General features: G+C 34.6%; 1 protein-coding gene across 65 annotated transcripts in view, besides 1 other annotated feature; it reads right to left on the bottom strand.

Moving 5' to 3' along the window:
* The window catches only part of TBC1D5 (TBC1 domain family member 5), a 585,470-nt gene that overhangs the window by 222,591 nt on the left and 345,148 nt on the right, over positions 1-17,731 (bottom strand). For all 65 annotated transcript variants that reach the window (XM_047449296.1, XM_011534283.4, XM_047449314.1 and 62 more), the window contains one exon: positions 4,161-4,263. In XM_047449296.1, the coding sequence (XP_047305252.1) occupies positions 4,161-4,263 (103 nt within the window). The remainder of the gene's footprint in view (positions 1-4,160; positions 4,264-17,731) is intronic.
* Positions 6,711-6,911: a silencer, noted in NCBI's record as "peak4551 fragment used in MPRA reporter construct". NCBI's record gives its function as "represses an SCP1 promoter by STARR-seq MPRAs in K562 erythroleukemia cells {active_cell/tissue: K562}" and the evidence as "EXISTENCE:reporter gene assay evidence [ECO:0000049][PMID:32103011]".

A 17,731-nucleotide genomic window follows, 5' to 3' on the forward strand; every position in this document is an offset into this window, starting at 1 on the left:
AAAGGTATTAAAATTATGATTTAAATTAAAGATTATAAATTAGGCACACTAAGATTAACAACAATTAATAAGAATAGAACAATTATAACAATATAGTGTAACAATATTATGTGATTGTGGTTTCTCTCTCTCTCTCTCTCAAAATATCTTATTGTACCATACTCAACTGTTTTTGAATGATGGTTGACTGCAGGTAACTGAAACCACAGAAAGTGAAACTGCAGGTAAGGGCGAACTACTGTACTGTACTGTACTGCAGGTAAGAATGGACACTGTACAGCTGTGACTGTGTATGTGTGTGTGTGTGTGTGTGTGTGTGTGTGTGTGTGTGTGTGTGTATACACATCCAGATCCTACCACAGGCCCAGCACAAATAAGGTACTCACTACATATTGACTGAATGAATGCAATATCTACCACTTAGTATATCCACATAGTGAAAAAAGCTAAGCTACAATATGAAAAAAGAATAGCATTAAATCATATTTCAAATTAATAAATAAAGGTGTTCTTGGCAGAATGGAAATTAAGTCTTTTGAATACCATTAAAACTATTTTACAAGCTCAGTTTTGACTTTCATCTAAACTAGGGATTTTTTTTCAAATACCTAAAATTTTGAGATTTTTGGTTTTGCTATCAATTCTAGACTAGTAAAACCTGTTTAATAATTACAAATGGCAATTACATAGACGTCTTTAAAAGAAAAGAGAAATACCAGAAATAATAATCATGAATTCAATATGCTACAAATTTGACAAAACGTAATAGAAAATAATGTATTGATAGTACGCTTCTGGTTCCCAAAATGTATATTTTGCTTCCACCTATATTGTCAGCATTTCTGCCTGCTTAAAAGCCTTTATCCCTGCTAGATTGTTAGTAGTCACTGCACTCCAAACTCATGCCAGTTGAAAATAAAGGTAACAAAAGTTTTCTTCAACAGCCTGTAGGTTCACAAAATTGAACCTGTTCTTTTATCTGCCTGTGTTCATTTAGCCCACCAAGCAGTCTTTATTAAAGCTAAGGCATCAGGCAGTCAAAGTTCATTAATACCATTTATATAATCTCTGCAATTTCAATTAACTCAGCAAGACATTCTACTACATGATAACAGTCTCATTAATTCAATAAAATCCCATAACTATTAACAATATGGTCGATGTTTAACAGGGTGTCACCTAGTACAAAATAATAGCTTTAACAGCTTGTGATGAAACTTAAGGTTTTTTCTTAAATTTGATCTGGCTAAATATTCAGTCCTTCTACAGCAAGGTATTATTTTTCTGTAAAAAATCTATAGGATTTTAAACATGTACAGGGAGTAATTAAATATTTTAAAATGACACCCAGGAGTAAGTTAATAATAGTTTCTAATTTAGTAATTGATAGATTTTTGTCTAAATGGATCAAGAACCTGATCTTCCATATTCCTGAGTAGTCTTCTATACAAATGCAGTGGGCCACATACATCACAAATGGTAGATGGAGTGCACAGTTATTATGTTTTTGTTCCTTGTCCATAGAACTTGTTTCCATTATTATAAGACTTCCTTAATCTATTTTTTCTTTCTCTAAAAAAAATTGGAAAACAGATGTGTAATTTGGGATAACTTTATCCTGATTTGATTCACTATCATCAAGTCTTTTACTACGGGGTATTTTCAAGTAGTTAAAGGAAAAGAGGAAATAACAAAGAGATAAGGTTCACAATGAAAGCCAACATAATGAAAAGAAAGCAGAAAAACAAAATCCTGGAATCTGTGATAAAGATTTTAAGCTAATGAACTAATGCAGCAGAACTATTTACTCCCAGACTTCATGTGAAGTGTGTTAACAATCTCTTTACAGTTTAAGCCATTTTAAACGGGGTCTTCTGCTATTTGCTCCCAAAAGAATTCTACACTAATAGATTTTTTCCCCCAGTCTCCTTTTTGGTTTGTTTTTAGTCTTTCGACTTTTTATCCGACTTGTAGATGAGTCTACCTTGCTTGCGAGGGCCTTTCCTAGTCTGAGATTACAAAAAAATTTCTCCTAAATCTTCTAGTATTTTTATATACTTTAAGTTTTTATATTTATATTTTTACACCATCTGGAATTTATTCTCCAATAAATGTGTAATTTAATGGTTTTTCCAGACGGAAATCCACATATAGCACGTCAATATCCTTTTCTTTATTTTACCATATTCAGATCCCATATATAACTGAACCTGTTTCTAGACTGTTTCACTGAACAATGGTCAATTCACATAATACTGTCACATTAGTTTGATCACAGAACCTTTATAGAAGTTTTAATATCTATATTTCCCATTATCCCTTTCCCACAAATTCTATGGTAATTCCAACACATTTAATAATTATTATAATGATGATGATAATAAAAACAACCACAACTACCAACATGAACCTTTGCTTGGCACCAAATGTTAACTCTAGAAAGTAATTACTATTATTACCCTCATCTTACAGATGCAAAACTAAAGATTAAAAAGGTTAAGTAAATTGTCTAAGATTGTGAAGTTAGTAAATGACAGAGGTGAGATTCGAACAAAGGAATTTGTGTCTACACTCAGTGCTTTTAATCCCTAAATTATATTATCTCCGTTAAAATAAGTGTAACATTTTTAGGCACTAAATTTAAAATAACTGTATCCAGTTTTTTAAAAAAAACACGTATCTTACTCAGGTTATCACTGGAATGATAATTCATTTAAACATAAAGAAGTAATATTTTTACTTAAAGTCTTCTCATCCAAAAACATGCTATTTTTCTATTTATTCGATTCTTGCTTTATATCCTTGAATAACTTTTTTTTTTTTTTTGAGACAGGATCTCACTCTTTCGCTCAGGCTAGAGTGCAGTGAATCAATCACAGCTCACTGCAGCCTCAAACTCCTGGTCTCAAGAGATCCTCCCACTTCAGTCTCCCAAGTAGCTGAGACTATACGTGTGCACCACCATGCCCAGCTAATTTTGTGGTACTTTTGTAGAGATGGGGTTTCACCATGTTGCCCAGCCTGGTCTCAAACTCCTGGGCTCAGCCAATCACCCTGCCTCAGCCTTACAAAGTGCTGGGATTATAGGTGTAAGCCACTGCACCTGGCCTATAGTTTCCTTCATATAGCTTTTGTATCTTTATTGTTAATTTTTTTCTAGACATGTTATAGCTTTTGGTTGCCCTTATAAATGCAATATATTTTTCATTTCCAATTCTAATAAGCTATTGTCAGCAGTTAATTAATACAGAAAAATATTACTATTAAAAATAAGATAAAATTAGTTCCCTTGGGTATTCTATGTATATACAATAATTAAAAATGTACGATTTGGTATATTTGTAGTCTGAAATGTTTTACTATCCTTAAATCTAGTTTATTTCAAATTAAATACACTGCTTTTACCATTAAGTGTTTTCTATTATATTAAATTTAAGTTCAGTGGTCCTGAATTAGGTATACATTATAACTTTTGATTATTAGAGAATTTAAGAATTTAGCTTGAATTCTCACTTAATTTGCATTTGGAGAAATACATAAAAATACCCAAGTGTGTGTATTTTTATTAGAACACCATAAACTTAAATAAAAAATGTAAATATATCTGTATATATTAAATAATTTACATTTCAATAAAATAAAACAACCCAATAATCTTCTTTGCTTTAGTAATGAGACGAGTCAAATAACAGGATCACAAAGGAACTAAATACACATTTCAAAAAATTTAAAGAAACTTTCTGAAGTTCTATTACTGATAAGTTTTAAAAGGTAATAGGATACTTGATTATTTTTTACATGACATGTCATATATTTATAAATGCTATACTTAAAAATAATATTTGTACATACAACTCTGAAATTTTATTACTAGATTGCCTTCAAAGATGCTGTTTATAAACAAACTCCCAGAAGTTGAAAGAAAAGATTGAACACCTTCTAGAAGACAATTTGGTGGAATGTCTTATAATGAGGAAGAAGCATATGTGCTTCAATGAGCTTACCTTTCTCACCATGCAGCTGACAAGCAACTCTCTGATTGCTTTAGCATTATGATACAACTTTGGATACAATAAAGGCTACATTATTGCTCTATCATTTGTCAAGCTGTATAGAAAATTTTGAGTCAATGGATGCCACCTGTAAGATATTTTCATTACCTGTTTATAAAGCAACTGCTCGTTTTCTCTGGCATAACAGAAAAGAACATCTGTAAGAATTTTTCTCACATTTTCTTGCTGGAAAAACTGCATTTCAGGAAACCTGGAAAAAGAAAATACAAGATTGAAACTGACTAACACAGTTTCAAGAATCACTCTCAAATTCTCATCTCGAAGACGTGCCAAGGGCTGCTTCAGGTTTTAGAACAAGCCTGTGTTTGCCATGTAACTTATGCCTTTAGTGGGGACTGAAAAAGGAGTGAGGCAAGGGGAAATAATTACATCCCAGAGGTAAATTACATCCTTCAACATATTCACATTTCAAATTTTTTCACATGCTTCATATACTTCACACATATGTGAATATGATAGCTTTTGAATCATATTCTACGTGTCTGCAGATGGGGAGTTGCTTTGTTTTAGCCCACTGGTTTTTAGGATAAGAATGTGATTTTGTAAAAGTACTAATTTTTTTCAAAAAAAGATTGTCATTCTTTTTCCTTGATGTAAAATAGCGACACTTCAGTTATTACATATAACCACCTTATCAGCCTTTCATCTGATTACAATATAGACTTCTAAATATTTATTTATAATGCAGTAAAACACCACAACTGCAAGAACCCAAAGAGAAAACCCACAGCAACACAATACACAATGAATGTATAAGGGCCGAGGGAATGTCATCTAGTAGTAGTAGTCAACTGGGTTTAATCACAGAGAGTTTGAACAATAATTTTTAGGAGAGGAGGAACATGGAACATCAGTGGAAAAGGTAATCAAAACAGAAAGAAAGATATGAAGGCACAGAAGGCAATGGGTATTTCAAGAATGCAGCATAACATGGTAATTATTAATCAGAAGGAAAAGACAATTCCATGAAATACTGCCTGCTGGGAGCAGGACAGTGGGATAGAAGAAAAGGTGGAGTAAGGCTGGAAAGAACTTTGAATGCTGAATTTCCAACTATGGAAACACAGCATAGTAAATGTATATTTTTGAATAAGGAAGTGATAAAGAAAACAGTATTTTAATTTAACTCTATGGAGGAATAAACCTGAAAGAGTAGCATAGGAAGGACTTAAGAGTGCATTATAATAAAGTGAAATTTAAAAGTCCCAAACCCAAGTAGAAAAGCCTGTGTTCAAATTCATGTTGCATAATTTCTAGTTATGCAACCCTGAGTGAATGATTGCTTAACTGCCTCATCTATTAAGCAGGGATAACAATACTGATCTTGTGATCAAGATAAAATCATGTAAGAGCACCAAGAACGGTGCCTAACAAGTAGCAGATATTCAGGAATAAGACGCCATTATTATAATAGTATTTGAGTAATGATACTTTAGGTAATGAGATTGCAAATCAGGTGGCTTTGGAACTAAAAAATGGGAGAAAATGTGAGAGAGTAGAGAGGAAGATGACCTAGAGCATGAAGGCATAGAGCATTATTGAAACAGAGAAACATTCCTTAATGAGTCTTTTAAGAGCAGTAGTGGCTGTTTTATGTTTTACATCATATTATAATGGTTTACTGCCTCCCATTTCTGAAGACCTCAGCTATTTTATGCTTCACTCTGCTACTTTGTTGGTGCCTTGGACAGTTATAACTTTCTAGTCCAAGCTAGGTTTTTGGTGAATTGTGCTAGAGATCTGTGAAGCATCTTTTTTTCTGGTCCTAATTTTTTAAATAAATTAAGGTCCATTTTACATTCATCTGTTCATTTGACTTTTGCTTACAACTCTCTTTTGCAACTGCCCAGACAGGTTTGGTTTTTTGTTTTTTTTTTCCTACCTTTTCTGTGGCAGCAAGGAAGCCTCTTTTTGGGGGGCCAGTAAACAAACTAAGGATCTGAGCAAGGTCGCTTCACATATTTGCATAAAGCTTAATGTGATGATCTCCCAGGCAGTCCCTATCCAGGAATCAGAGTTCAAATAGGGGTGGCACAATTAACTTCTAAAGAAGAGAAAAAGTAACCTGAAGAGTAAGCATATGTCAGAGAAGCCAAAGAAACTGCAGAATGATGTCAAATGCACTGAAGTAGGCAAGAAACACAAAAACTTTTAAAATGTCATTTTGAAACAAAAGAAAGTTGCTAAAGCCCTTAAAAATCAAATATCCCAAATTAATCAGGATAAAAGATAGGTAAGTAGTTAATAAAATAACTTGGTATAGAGAAATATCTTGGGAAACTTAGCCATTAAGCTACGAATAGAATAATACTTTTGAGAGGTGAAATTTTCTCTCCTTCTCATTATATAACATAAATTTAACTCTGTCTTCAAGTAGGCTTCATTCCCAAAAATCTGGATCACCTGACTTAATAATTTTGCACGTCCCCTTCCTCATCTATTCTTTGGAAATTTTCTACACACATTGGCACAACCAAATTCTGTGTAGCTGTTATAATCTAAAATTGATTATGAAAGAAAGTACTAAAAACTACTACATTAACTTTGCAAAGAGTATCCATAAACTATAAATAATTTAATACCTAAAAACTAAAAATGTAAAGTATACCTGTTAAGTCAACTTTAGGCTGAAGCTGCCTCCTTACATATTTTAAGTTCAGCCTAAAGGTTTCTTTGCACATCGTGAACTATAACAAGTGGAGGTGTAAACAGACCACAGCTTACACGTCTGCCAATCATTGAGTTTTGGCCAATCAAATGTAGCCAACTGTTCAACCCATGTTCAAATAAGGCAAACACCAACCTGTAACCAATCCAGCTGTTTCTGTACCTCACTTCTGTTATCTGTATGTCACTTTCCTTCTTCTGTCTATAAATCTTCCACTACGTGGCTGTGCTGGCGTCTCTGAGCCTACTCTGACTCGGAAGGCTGCCCAATTCACGAATCGTTCATTGCTCAATTAAACTCCATTAAATTTAATTCGGCTGAAGTTTTTCTTTTAACACACTGTATATCAATTCCTGGTTTCATTTAAATGCATACCAACCACTTTCAAGATTAAAAACTACAGATCTAAAAGAATTCAATTGCAAGTAGTAATTTAAATTGTCTACTTTTAGCAAATACCAAATCAACTGAAAATATGTATTATGCAGACATAGCATATCTATGAAACAGCACACCAACTATGATTCTGCTCTACAATGCTGAAGTGCTAATTTGTGAAGTTTCATGGCACTCTCTTTGTTAGAAAACTATAACTTGTTCTTTAAATGATGAAGAATCCATTGCATCGAATAAGTAAGGTAGAAAGATAGAGAAAAGCTCTGAAAAAGAAGTAAAGTTTTCAAAACTATTTCAAAAGTTGGAAAAAGAACTGAAAATCAGAGTTTTGTGCTGAGTCTTTGGAGATTATCCAGTCCAACTCAGAGATTAACAGGCAAGTAAACAGAAGCACAGAGAAATAATACCTGTGCCAAGGTATCTGGGTAGTTAACAGAACAGCAGCACTTTCCAACTGCTTCCCTAATCAGTTATAAATTAATCTGAGAAATGCATTTAGGTAAAATTCCATTGACTTTAGAGTTACACATAAGAACCTAGCTCTGAAGGTTGATGAATATACCTAGACAATAACATAGTTCCTACAAAAAATACTTGATGGTCACAGTATCAGGATTCAATCCAGAAGATGTTACATTTATAGGTATAAGAAATGTGGGAGAAAAAGTACAGTGAGTAGCATTTCTAGGAATAGTAATAATCTGTTTTTGATGATATGTTGTAAGTTTCAAAATAGCTTCCCTACCACTCATTACACTTCTAGGTTTTATTTACCCCTTGCTAGATGGTGTGGATTCAGGCTAGGTAAAGTAATTTGAACATCAGTCTAACCCAAATATCATTGGAAAGGCAAATCTGTTTTTGAAACATAATTAAAAGCACAGAATACTAACCACACTAGATGCAACAATCATTCAGGTTTTGAAAAATCAACAATGATGTTACAGTTTCATGAAAATAAAGAGAGAAATTTAGAATTAAAACTGTAGAGGTTCATAATTTATTCAAACCAAAATATCTGGTAGGAAAATAAAACAGAAAGGAAAAAAATCACATTAAGTAGGAACTGGAAACAAATTTTATTATTAACAGAAGGTCTTTCTTTCTACATTTGTCCATAAAATAAAAATTGAGATGTAAAATAGGTGAGGGCGAAACTCTAAAAATAGAGATGAACAGCAAAGATTAAGTAGTCCATAATGGAATTTAGACTAAAATAGTCTTAAATCCTTACTTTAGGGTAAAAGTCATATTTCAGTTTAGACTCAACTGATCAGTATTGATAATATAGAAGTTTCTCTCTCAGATGTGTGAAGAAACCATATTTAAACAAATTTTACATAGTACACAATAATAACAAGAGCCATCACAAACATGTGGTGTGTAAGTTTTGTTTTCTATCTTGAAATAAACCAAAATTGGTAGGCAATATAGGTTTAATTATAAATTTTAAAAATCTTTCATTATGGAAAATTCAAACATTTAATAAAGACAAGACAACAGTAAACTGAACCCCAATCTACCCATCAGCTAGCTTCAGCACTAATAATTTCTTGTTTTACATATATTCCTCTCCAATATTGCATTATTTTGAAGCTAATCCCAGACGTCATTATATCTGTAAATACTGCAATGTGTATCTCTAAAAGATAAGCACTCTTTAAAAACATAACCATAGGCCAGGTGAAGAGGCTCACACCTATAATCCCAGCACTTTGAAAGGTCAAGGCAGGAGGATCCCTTGAGCCCAGGGGTTTGAGACCAGCTTGGGCAACATAGCGAGACCCTGCCTTTACAAAAAAAAAAAAAAAAAGTAAAAGTAAATTAGCTGGGTATGATGGCACAAACCTGTAGTCCCAGCTAATTGGGAAGCTGAGGTGGGAGGATCACTTGAGCCTCGGAGGTAGAGGCTGCAGTGGGCTGTGTTTGTGCCGCTGCACTTTGGCCTAGGCAAGAGAGACACACCCTGTCTCGAACAAAACAAACAAACAAAGAAACAAAAAAAATACCATAGTGCCATTGTAACACTACTAATAATAAAAATAATAATCTATTAATCAAATAACCAGTAAATGTTCAAATTTCTGTGACTGTCTAAAAATTCTTAACACTTTGTTCAAGAACCAAGAAATATTTGTCAGTACATTGCAATTTGTTGATATTATCTCTTAAGATTCCTTTAATCTATAGACTTGTCCTTCTTCTCTTTTTTATCTTGTAATGTATTTGTTAAAGAAACCAGATTTTTTATCCTGTAGAAGCTTCCCACATTCAGAATTTTACGTATTGTGCCTCCATTTTCTTATTTAACGATTCTCCTGTCCCCTGTATTTCCTACAAACTGGCAGTTAGATCTAGAGACTTTATCAGATTCAGGTTCAAGTTTTCAACAAGATTCTTCTTGTCTCATCTATAGATGACATAATTTGAGAACATGTTTGCAAATTCTTTGATACTCCTCCCATAGAAAGATGAAAGAGTCTGACTCTCTTCCCTTTGAGTATGTGCTGCCCTTAGTGACCAGTTTCTCAAAAAATAAACGTGTCAAAAGTGGTGGTGGAACACAGCTTCTGTCTGGCTCTCTCTGGACACATTCTCAGAACCAGACCACCATGCTGTAAGGAAGCCAAACAGCCATATGAAAAGGCCATCGCGGGTGTTCTCACCACAGCTCCAGAGGAGGTCTCACCTGAGAGCCAGCTTCAATAACCAGACAGGTGAATGAGCAAACCTTCAGATGATTCCAGACCCTGGACTTCAAGCTACCCCAGCCAACACCATGTGCAACAGAGATGAGCCATCCTACTGAGCCCTGCTCAAGTTGTAGATTCAACAACAAAATAAATTCTGTTGTTTTAAACTTGGGGTGATTTCAATGCAGTGGTAAGTTGGTGTTGTGTACTTCCATCAGGAGGCACCTAACATTAATGTATCCCACTTTCTGTGATGCTACCAACTGTTAATGATCACTGCCTAAATCTATTAACTCATTAGAAGTCATAAAATGGTAAAACTATAATTCTATAATATTTTTTCTTCCTTTATTATCTAAGACATAATGAAAAAAATCCTTCATCAATTTTTAGCTATCCTGAAGTACAATTCATATAATTTTTAAAAATCTTATTGATTTCTATTACATTTGGCTCATGGATACTTACTGCAGACATTTGATTATACAAAGACCTATACATGATAGAATGGCTACTAATTCTGTAACAGAAGTAGTTTATGACAACTAGAGTATCCTATTTGCCATTTGGATATGGTCTCATATGACTGCAGTGTGTGGAAGTGAACTGAAAAGTGAGGGATGGAGAACAACTAAACACCAACTTTGGAGCCCCAATAACCAGGAACCCAGGTGCCTGATAGTTGGAAAGACATTCAACAGGACAATGGTCTGTCATAATACAGACAATAAAGGGAAGCCAGACAAATATCGGGGCTATCTGTAATGCAGGCAACAAAGAGACAAAAAGAATCTTTCCTAAGCAAGAAAAGGGTTAAGAAAAGAGTAAAATGATAAAGGGTTTTGTCACCACATTATAGTACATAATTAGGTAATTAGAAGTATTAAAACAGACAAAGCATTGGGCTCAGATGAAATACTGAAGATGCAAGTATTCAATAAGATGCCCCAGGGGAAAAAGGAAAGCCCTTGGTGAGGGTTTATAATCATGCAATAGGACAAAGAAGCACAGAAGGACTTGAAGGAACAATAACTGTTGTTATGCCCATATTTCAAAAACGGAAAATCAAAACAAGCACTCATCCAAAATTTTTAAATGAGCTGATGAAAACTCCCTAGAATACTATTAACCACCAAAATAACTATAATATCTTACTGTGGTTTATTGTTTTATTAAAGAAAAACTGAACAATCAAGCCAAGACCACAACAAGGAACAATTTGATATGGAATAAAAACAGACATACTGAAAGACACAATTCTTTTTCTTCCTGTGTTCCCTATTTTGGTTGGTAATTTCCATTCTCCCTATTCAACCAAACCTGTTTTCTCTTCTTTGCAGGCACATAGCTGGATTTAATTTCCCAGCTTCCTTTTCAGTTAGCTGTGGTCATGTGACTTGAGTGCTAGCCAATGGAATGAGAGAGGAAATTATGTGGGACCAGGAAATACACTCCCCTAACTTCCCCACCGGCAGGCCTCTGTACACATTTCCCCGTCTAGTAGACGGAATGAAAAAGAACATGGGGAAGACCTTGAAAACTCCACTGGGATTGTGCTGCTCTTAAAACTATATCTGCAAATTTTTTAATTCTCACATTTCCCTTCTGAGGTAATGGCATAAAAACGACATAGCTTCTACATGGCTCTTCTTCTTTCTTGGATCGCTTGATCTGAAGAAAGTATCTTCTGAAGGAGGACCGTAAAGCAGCACATTAGAGAGATCCACATGGAGAGGAACCAAAGTGGATACTCCAGCCATAGTCAAGCCATCAAACGTTTGCAGCTCCAGTAACCACGTGACTGCAATCTCATGAAACACTCCTAAGCCAGAATCTCCCAGCTATACTGCTCCCAAACTCCTGATCCACAGCAACCATGACATAATAATTAATTGTTGTTCTAAGCCACCAATTTTGGTTGATTAATTACGTAGCAAAATATAATAGAGGTTTTGATATCTGAAACTGGGGTGCTGTTTCAAAAAAAAAAAATACCTAAAATATGTGGTAGAAGTGCCTATGGGACTGGATAGAAGACAGAAGGACCTTCAGGAGAGCATCAGTGAGAAATTAAGGCTGTGGGAAAAAGACTATTAGCAAAAGACAATCTGCAAAGAGGCGCCAGTGAGGGCTTAAATGAAAGTGAAGAAAACATTACAGAAAAAAAAATGGAGGAAAGGGGTTCCTTATTACGCAGTGACAGAAAGTCTGGCAATGTGATAGCCTCTAGTTATATGCAACATAGAAAATGAATCTAATAAACTGAGTGATCTAGCTAAGGAGATATCCAGGCAGAGTACTGAAAGTATTGTCTGGTTTATTTATGTTACTTATAGTAGAATGAAAGAAGAGAAAAAACAAAAGGAATAACTGGTAAACATAAAGGTGCTAGAACTTTCTTGGTTTGAAAATAAAGCTTTTTCTCATTCCCAGCTTCTCAAGTCAGCAAATGATACCAACATTAACACACTGCTTCTGGGCAAAGATCAAATCTAGGACAAAGACAGGCAAGAACTAAAGATGAAATCAAAGGTGTGACTGTAAAAGCCTTTGTTAAGATCTCAGAAAGCTCTAAGATGATGCCACAGAGAACCCTTCAGTCAGACAAAAGGCCCTTAGATTTTTTATTTTTTATTATTTATTTTTTTAGTGATGGCATAAAATTGAATTTACTAAGTAATCAATGATAGTTACTGGTTGTAATATTGGTGCAGAAAATAGGGTCCAGTCTTATGCTAACATCTTCTTTCTACATGATCCACTTGCTGTGTCATGTGACCCTTTTTTTAAAAAAAAATTATACTTTTAAGTTCCGGGAAACGTGTAGAATGTGCAGGTTTGTTACATTAGGTATACACATGCCATGGTGGTTTGCTGCACACTTCAACCCATCATCTACATTAGGTTTCTCCTAACGCTATCCTTCCCCTAAACCCCCGACCCCGCAACAGGCCCCAGTGTGTGATGTTCCCCTCCCTGTGTCCATGTGTTCTCATTGTTTAACTCCCACTTACGGGTGAGAACATGCGGTGTTTGGTTTTCTGTTCCTGTGTTAGTCTGCTGAGAATGATGGTTTCCAGCTTCATCCATGTCCCTGCAAAGGACATGAACTCATCCTTTTTTATGGCTGCATAGTATTCCATGGTGTATATGTGCCACATTTTCTTTATCTAGTCTATCTTTGATGGGCATTTGGGTTGGTTCCAAGTCTTTGCTATTGTGAACAGTGCTGCAATAAACATACGTATGCATGTGTCTTTATAGTAGAATGACTTATAATCCTTTGGGTATGTACCCAGTAATGGGATTGCTGTGTCAAATGGTATTTCTGTTTCTAGATCCTTGAGGAATTGCCACACTGTCTTCCACAGTGGTTGAACTAATTTACACTCCCACCAAAAGCATTCCCGTTTCTCCACATCCTCTCCAGCATCTATTGTTTCCTGACTTTTTAATGATCACCATTCTAACTGGTGTGTGATGGTATCTCACTGTGGTTTTGATTTGCATTTCTCTAATGACCAGTGATGATGAGGTTTTTTTTTTTCCATGTTTGTTGGCCGCATAAATGTCTTCCTTTGAGAAATGTCTGTTCATATCCTTCACCCCATTTTTGATGGGGTTGTTTTTTTCTTGTAAATTTGTTTAAGTTCTTTGTAAATACCTGGGAGTACAACTTACAAGGGATGTGAAGGACCTCTTCAAGGAGAACTACAAACCACTGCTCAAGGAAATAAGAGAGGACACAAACAAATGGAAAAACATTCTATACTCATGGATAGAAAGAATCAATATCATGAAAATGGCCATACTGCCCAAAGTAATTTACAGATTCAATGCTATTTCCATCAACCTACCATTGACTGTCTTCAGAGAATTAGAAAAAAATACTTTAAATTTCATATGGAACCAAGAAAGAGCCCATATATTCATGACAATCCTAAGGAAAAAGAACAAAGCTGGAGGCATCATGCTACCTGACTTCAAACTATACTACAAGGCTACAGTAACCAAAACAGCATGGTACTGGTACCAAAACAGATATACAGAACGATGGAACAGAACAGAGGCCTGAGAAATAATACCACACATCTACAACCACCTGATCTTTGACAAACCTGACAAAAGCAAGCAATGGGGAAAGGACTCCCTATTTAGTAAATGGTGTTGGGGAAACTGGCTAGCTATATGCAGAAAACTGAGCCTGGACCCCTTCCTTACACCTTATACAAAAATTAACTCAAAATGGATTAAAGACTTAAACGTAAGACCTAAAACCATAAAAACCCTAGAAGAAAACCTAGGCAATACCATTCAGGACACAGGCATGGACAAAGACTTCATGACTAATACACCAAAAGCAATGGCAACAAAAGCCAAAACTGACAAATGGGATCTAATTAAACTAAAGAGCTTCTGCACAGCAAAAGAAACTATCATCAGAGTGAACAGGCCTCACAGCTCTAGCAAGTAGAGATCAGGGATCTGCTAAACATCCTACAGTGCGCAAAACAACCTCTCAAAACAAAGAATTGGTCCAAAATGTTAATACTCCCAAGGTTGAGAAACACTGCATTACAATATATAAACCCAGAAGGCAGAAACAGTATCTACTTATTTAGTCTCCATCACTTTTTGAATAAGATTTGAGATACTGATTCATTTATGTTTCTGTCCTGTTTTGCTTCACAAAGTGCTTGCACACTGAAGGTATTTAATAAACATTTCTTGAAGAAGCATTGAATCTAGACAAACAAGATTAACATAAATTATAGAGTAATGGAAAAACAGAAGTCCCAGGTACCATTTCCATTTTGGCCTTAACAAGTTATATTTGTTTATTCATGTCATAGTCTTTCTGAGCTTCAACTTTTCACCTTTGCAAAATAAAAGGATTTTACTAGATGACTATTAATGACATAAATGCTTACAATGGGTGCCAAGTACTGGGAAATATGAAGCTACAAAACATATAAACTCAAGAAAATCTAGGAGAATAAAAACAGACATCTTACAGATAATTTTAAAAGAAGATAATTACAATAAAATATGCATTATATATTAAAGAACAGAAGAGGCAGTCTTTTCTTTATTTGAATCTTGAACTTCTAAAACAGTGGCTGACAAGTGATCTCTCAAGTAGTATTTGCTGAATGGACAAATATACCTACAAACCTTACAAACAACCAAACCTTTGAGGAAAATTAAGACGACGCAATCGGGCGCTAGGGATATGAAGGCAAAGCAAAAGCAAAGCCTGAACAAGGTTCTGCTTTCTTTAATTTATGTTTTCAGTGAAGAAAAGAATGACATATAGCTTTCATAGTTCATAAACAGGAGGTGAATACAGAATTTTTTAAAGTGAAAAAAAAAAGGAAGTAGTAATTTATTGTGATGACAATGAGTAGGACTCAGCCCAAGAGGGCAGCAGAAAAATCTCCAAGAGGCTAATAAGGAAGGTGGAGTAAGAAATCACCATACAGTTGAGAAGATTAAGCAAAAACAAAAAGGAGGGGCGGTTTGGGATGACAGGATATAAGGTTGGGAGAAGGCAGGTGTGGCTGCAGTTCAGGAGATGGGATCTGTCACCATCTAAGTAGAGGTCTTCATCTAAGGTTCTTTCTAGTTCTACAATGCCTGAGTCACTTAACAAGCCCTTTACCCCACTCCTCCACGCCTCCAAAAACATCTTTCTGTTCCTACCATAATGGTAAAAAATTAGGAAAAAATATAAACGTAGGTAGATACACTGTATATGTACTTTCAGTGCCAGACGAGACTGTGTCGCAAATGGAAATACAGACTTTATTTTGAAGTTTTTCAATAATTAAGAAAAAAATTAAAAAAATAAATACAAAGCATTACCCCTGAAGTACCAAAGCTGCTTCAATTCTAAATCTGCTGAAATGTTCTAAAAAGACTGTGTTACACTACCAAACAGGCTGTGCCCACTGGGAATATTATTTTACTACTCACCAAACTTTACTTTTTAACCTTCTCATAATCATATAAATCTACAACTATAAATAGTCCTTAAAAATCTGGGCTCATTTAAAACAAAGAAAATCTGAAAAGCAAAAACTCTATTGGTCAGCATTTCAGAGGGTACCCCTATAACTGTGCTGCCGCTATGTACTACTGCTCCTAAATTCCGAAGATTAGGAGCACCAGGGTGCTAATGAAAGCACTGCAACTATATTTTCATTAAAATACTGAAAAAAATTTAAGTTTTTAAAAATCTCACAAATTAGAATAAATGTATGCTAAGAATTTGCATGCTCAAATGAAACAGAAATAGGAAAAATATACTTTAAAACAGTACAGGAGCAGTACAGGAAAGATACTAAATATACATATGCAATAGTAATTATTTTGCTTTTATCTTAAGTGTCAAATGAGGAAGGACTACAGGCCATTTGACAGAAGCATTATTTTTCATATTCCTGAAAATCTGTTTTCCCCCCTCTTTAATATTTAAGAAACACACACAGGTTGCCGACAACTCTTAGAGAGCGGCTTGTGTTGTAGTTTTCACTTTCTCGGCTGTGAACAAGTGCATATGTGAGGGCTGGTCGTGCATGCACAAGCATGTACTTTGCCTGCATTAAATAAAATCACAACACAACACCAAGTACATCCACTCATTCATGTGTGCCTGCAGTCCACCTCGAGGAGACTGAAAATATAAATACAAGCTGCTATTTTGGTGTGATCACAGGAATATGGCAGCTTGTATTTTTTTTTTCTCTTTAACATTTTAACACTGGGCAGATTGTCGGCATTAACACACACCAAAATCAATTCTGCTCTGAAATTGCTTGTAAAATCCTTCTTCCCAGAGGAATTTGTTTTTTATTTCAATAAAAAATGGGCTTGGAGGAAACTGTGTAGGAGATACCGACATTTAGGACATCTTAACTTTGTAAAGTGTGACATCAATGGACCAAATTACTGGGAGTATTTCTTTTTCAAAATAGGAACTGAGAAAGAGGATCTTTAAATTAAAAAAAAAAATCAATAAATTACTCAGTAAAATAACTTTCGAATATGCTTAACATAGAAAAAAATTCAAAACTAATCTAGTTTCCATCCACATACTACAATGTAACATAATAACTACATTTGACCAAAAATTCAGGAAAGATTTACTGTAAAAATTCATGTCATTTTCTAAAGGTGAGAGAAAAGAAATAAAAGTAAATGTTTCACAGAGGCCATATCTAAAAGTTCAACATGAATAAAAAGCAAAATGTAGACATTTACATTACATATTACACAAAAATAAAACAATAATGAATTATCATTCCAATTTTAATATTTGTGCTGCTGGGGCGAGCATAATAATGAATTATCTATACAGCACTGTCCAAAGAACTTTCTGTAAGAATGGAAGTATCCTCTGTAAGAGTTGTCCAGTACAGTATATACAGTAGCCATTATCAGCTATAGCTACTGTGATGACTAAAATTTTTAATTTTATTTAAATTTATATTTAAACAGCCACATATGCCTGGTATCTACCAAACAGTACAGCACATATCTATAATTTTTAAAAAAGAATTTAAAGAATTTTTTTTTACTTCCCTACCTGCTCCTTTTCTCTTGCAAGCAATTATTAATGAATCCAGAAAATATCAAATAAGGTGTGTTTTAATTGAGGAGACAAAGTTTGCTTGCAAAATATCAAATTATAAGACTTAAAAAACTGAGAAGACAAAATTTGCTTAAATAGATTATGTTTGAAGCATGGCATACATATACACTATAAACAAAAGGAAACATTAAGATGAGAAAGTTACTTTTTTTTAAGACAGGATCTCACTCTTTTACCCAGGCTGGAGTGCACTGGCATGACCACAGCTTACTGCAGTCTCAACCTCCTGGGATCAAGAGATCCCCCA

This window comes from Homo sapiens, chromosome 3 (assembly GCF_000001405.40).
Source record: "Homo sapiens chromosome 3, GRCh38.p14 Primary Assembly".
NCBI classification, from domain to species: Eukaryota; Metazoa; Chordata; class Mammalia; order Primates; family Hominidae; genus Homo; species Homo sapiens.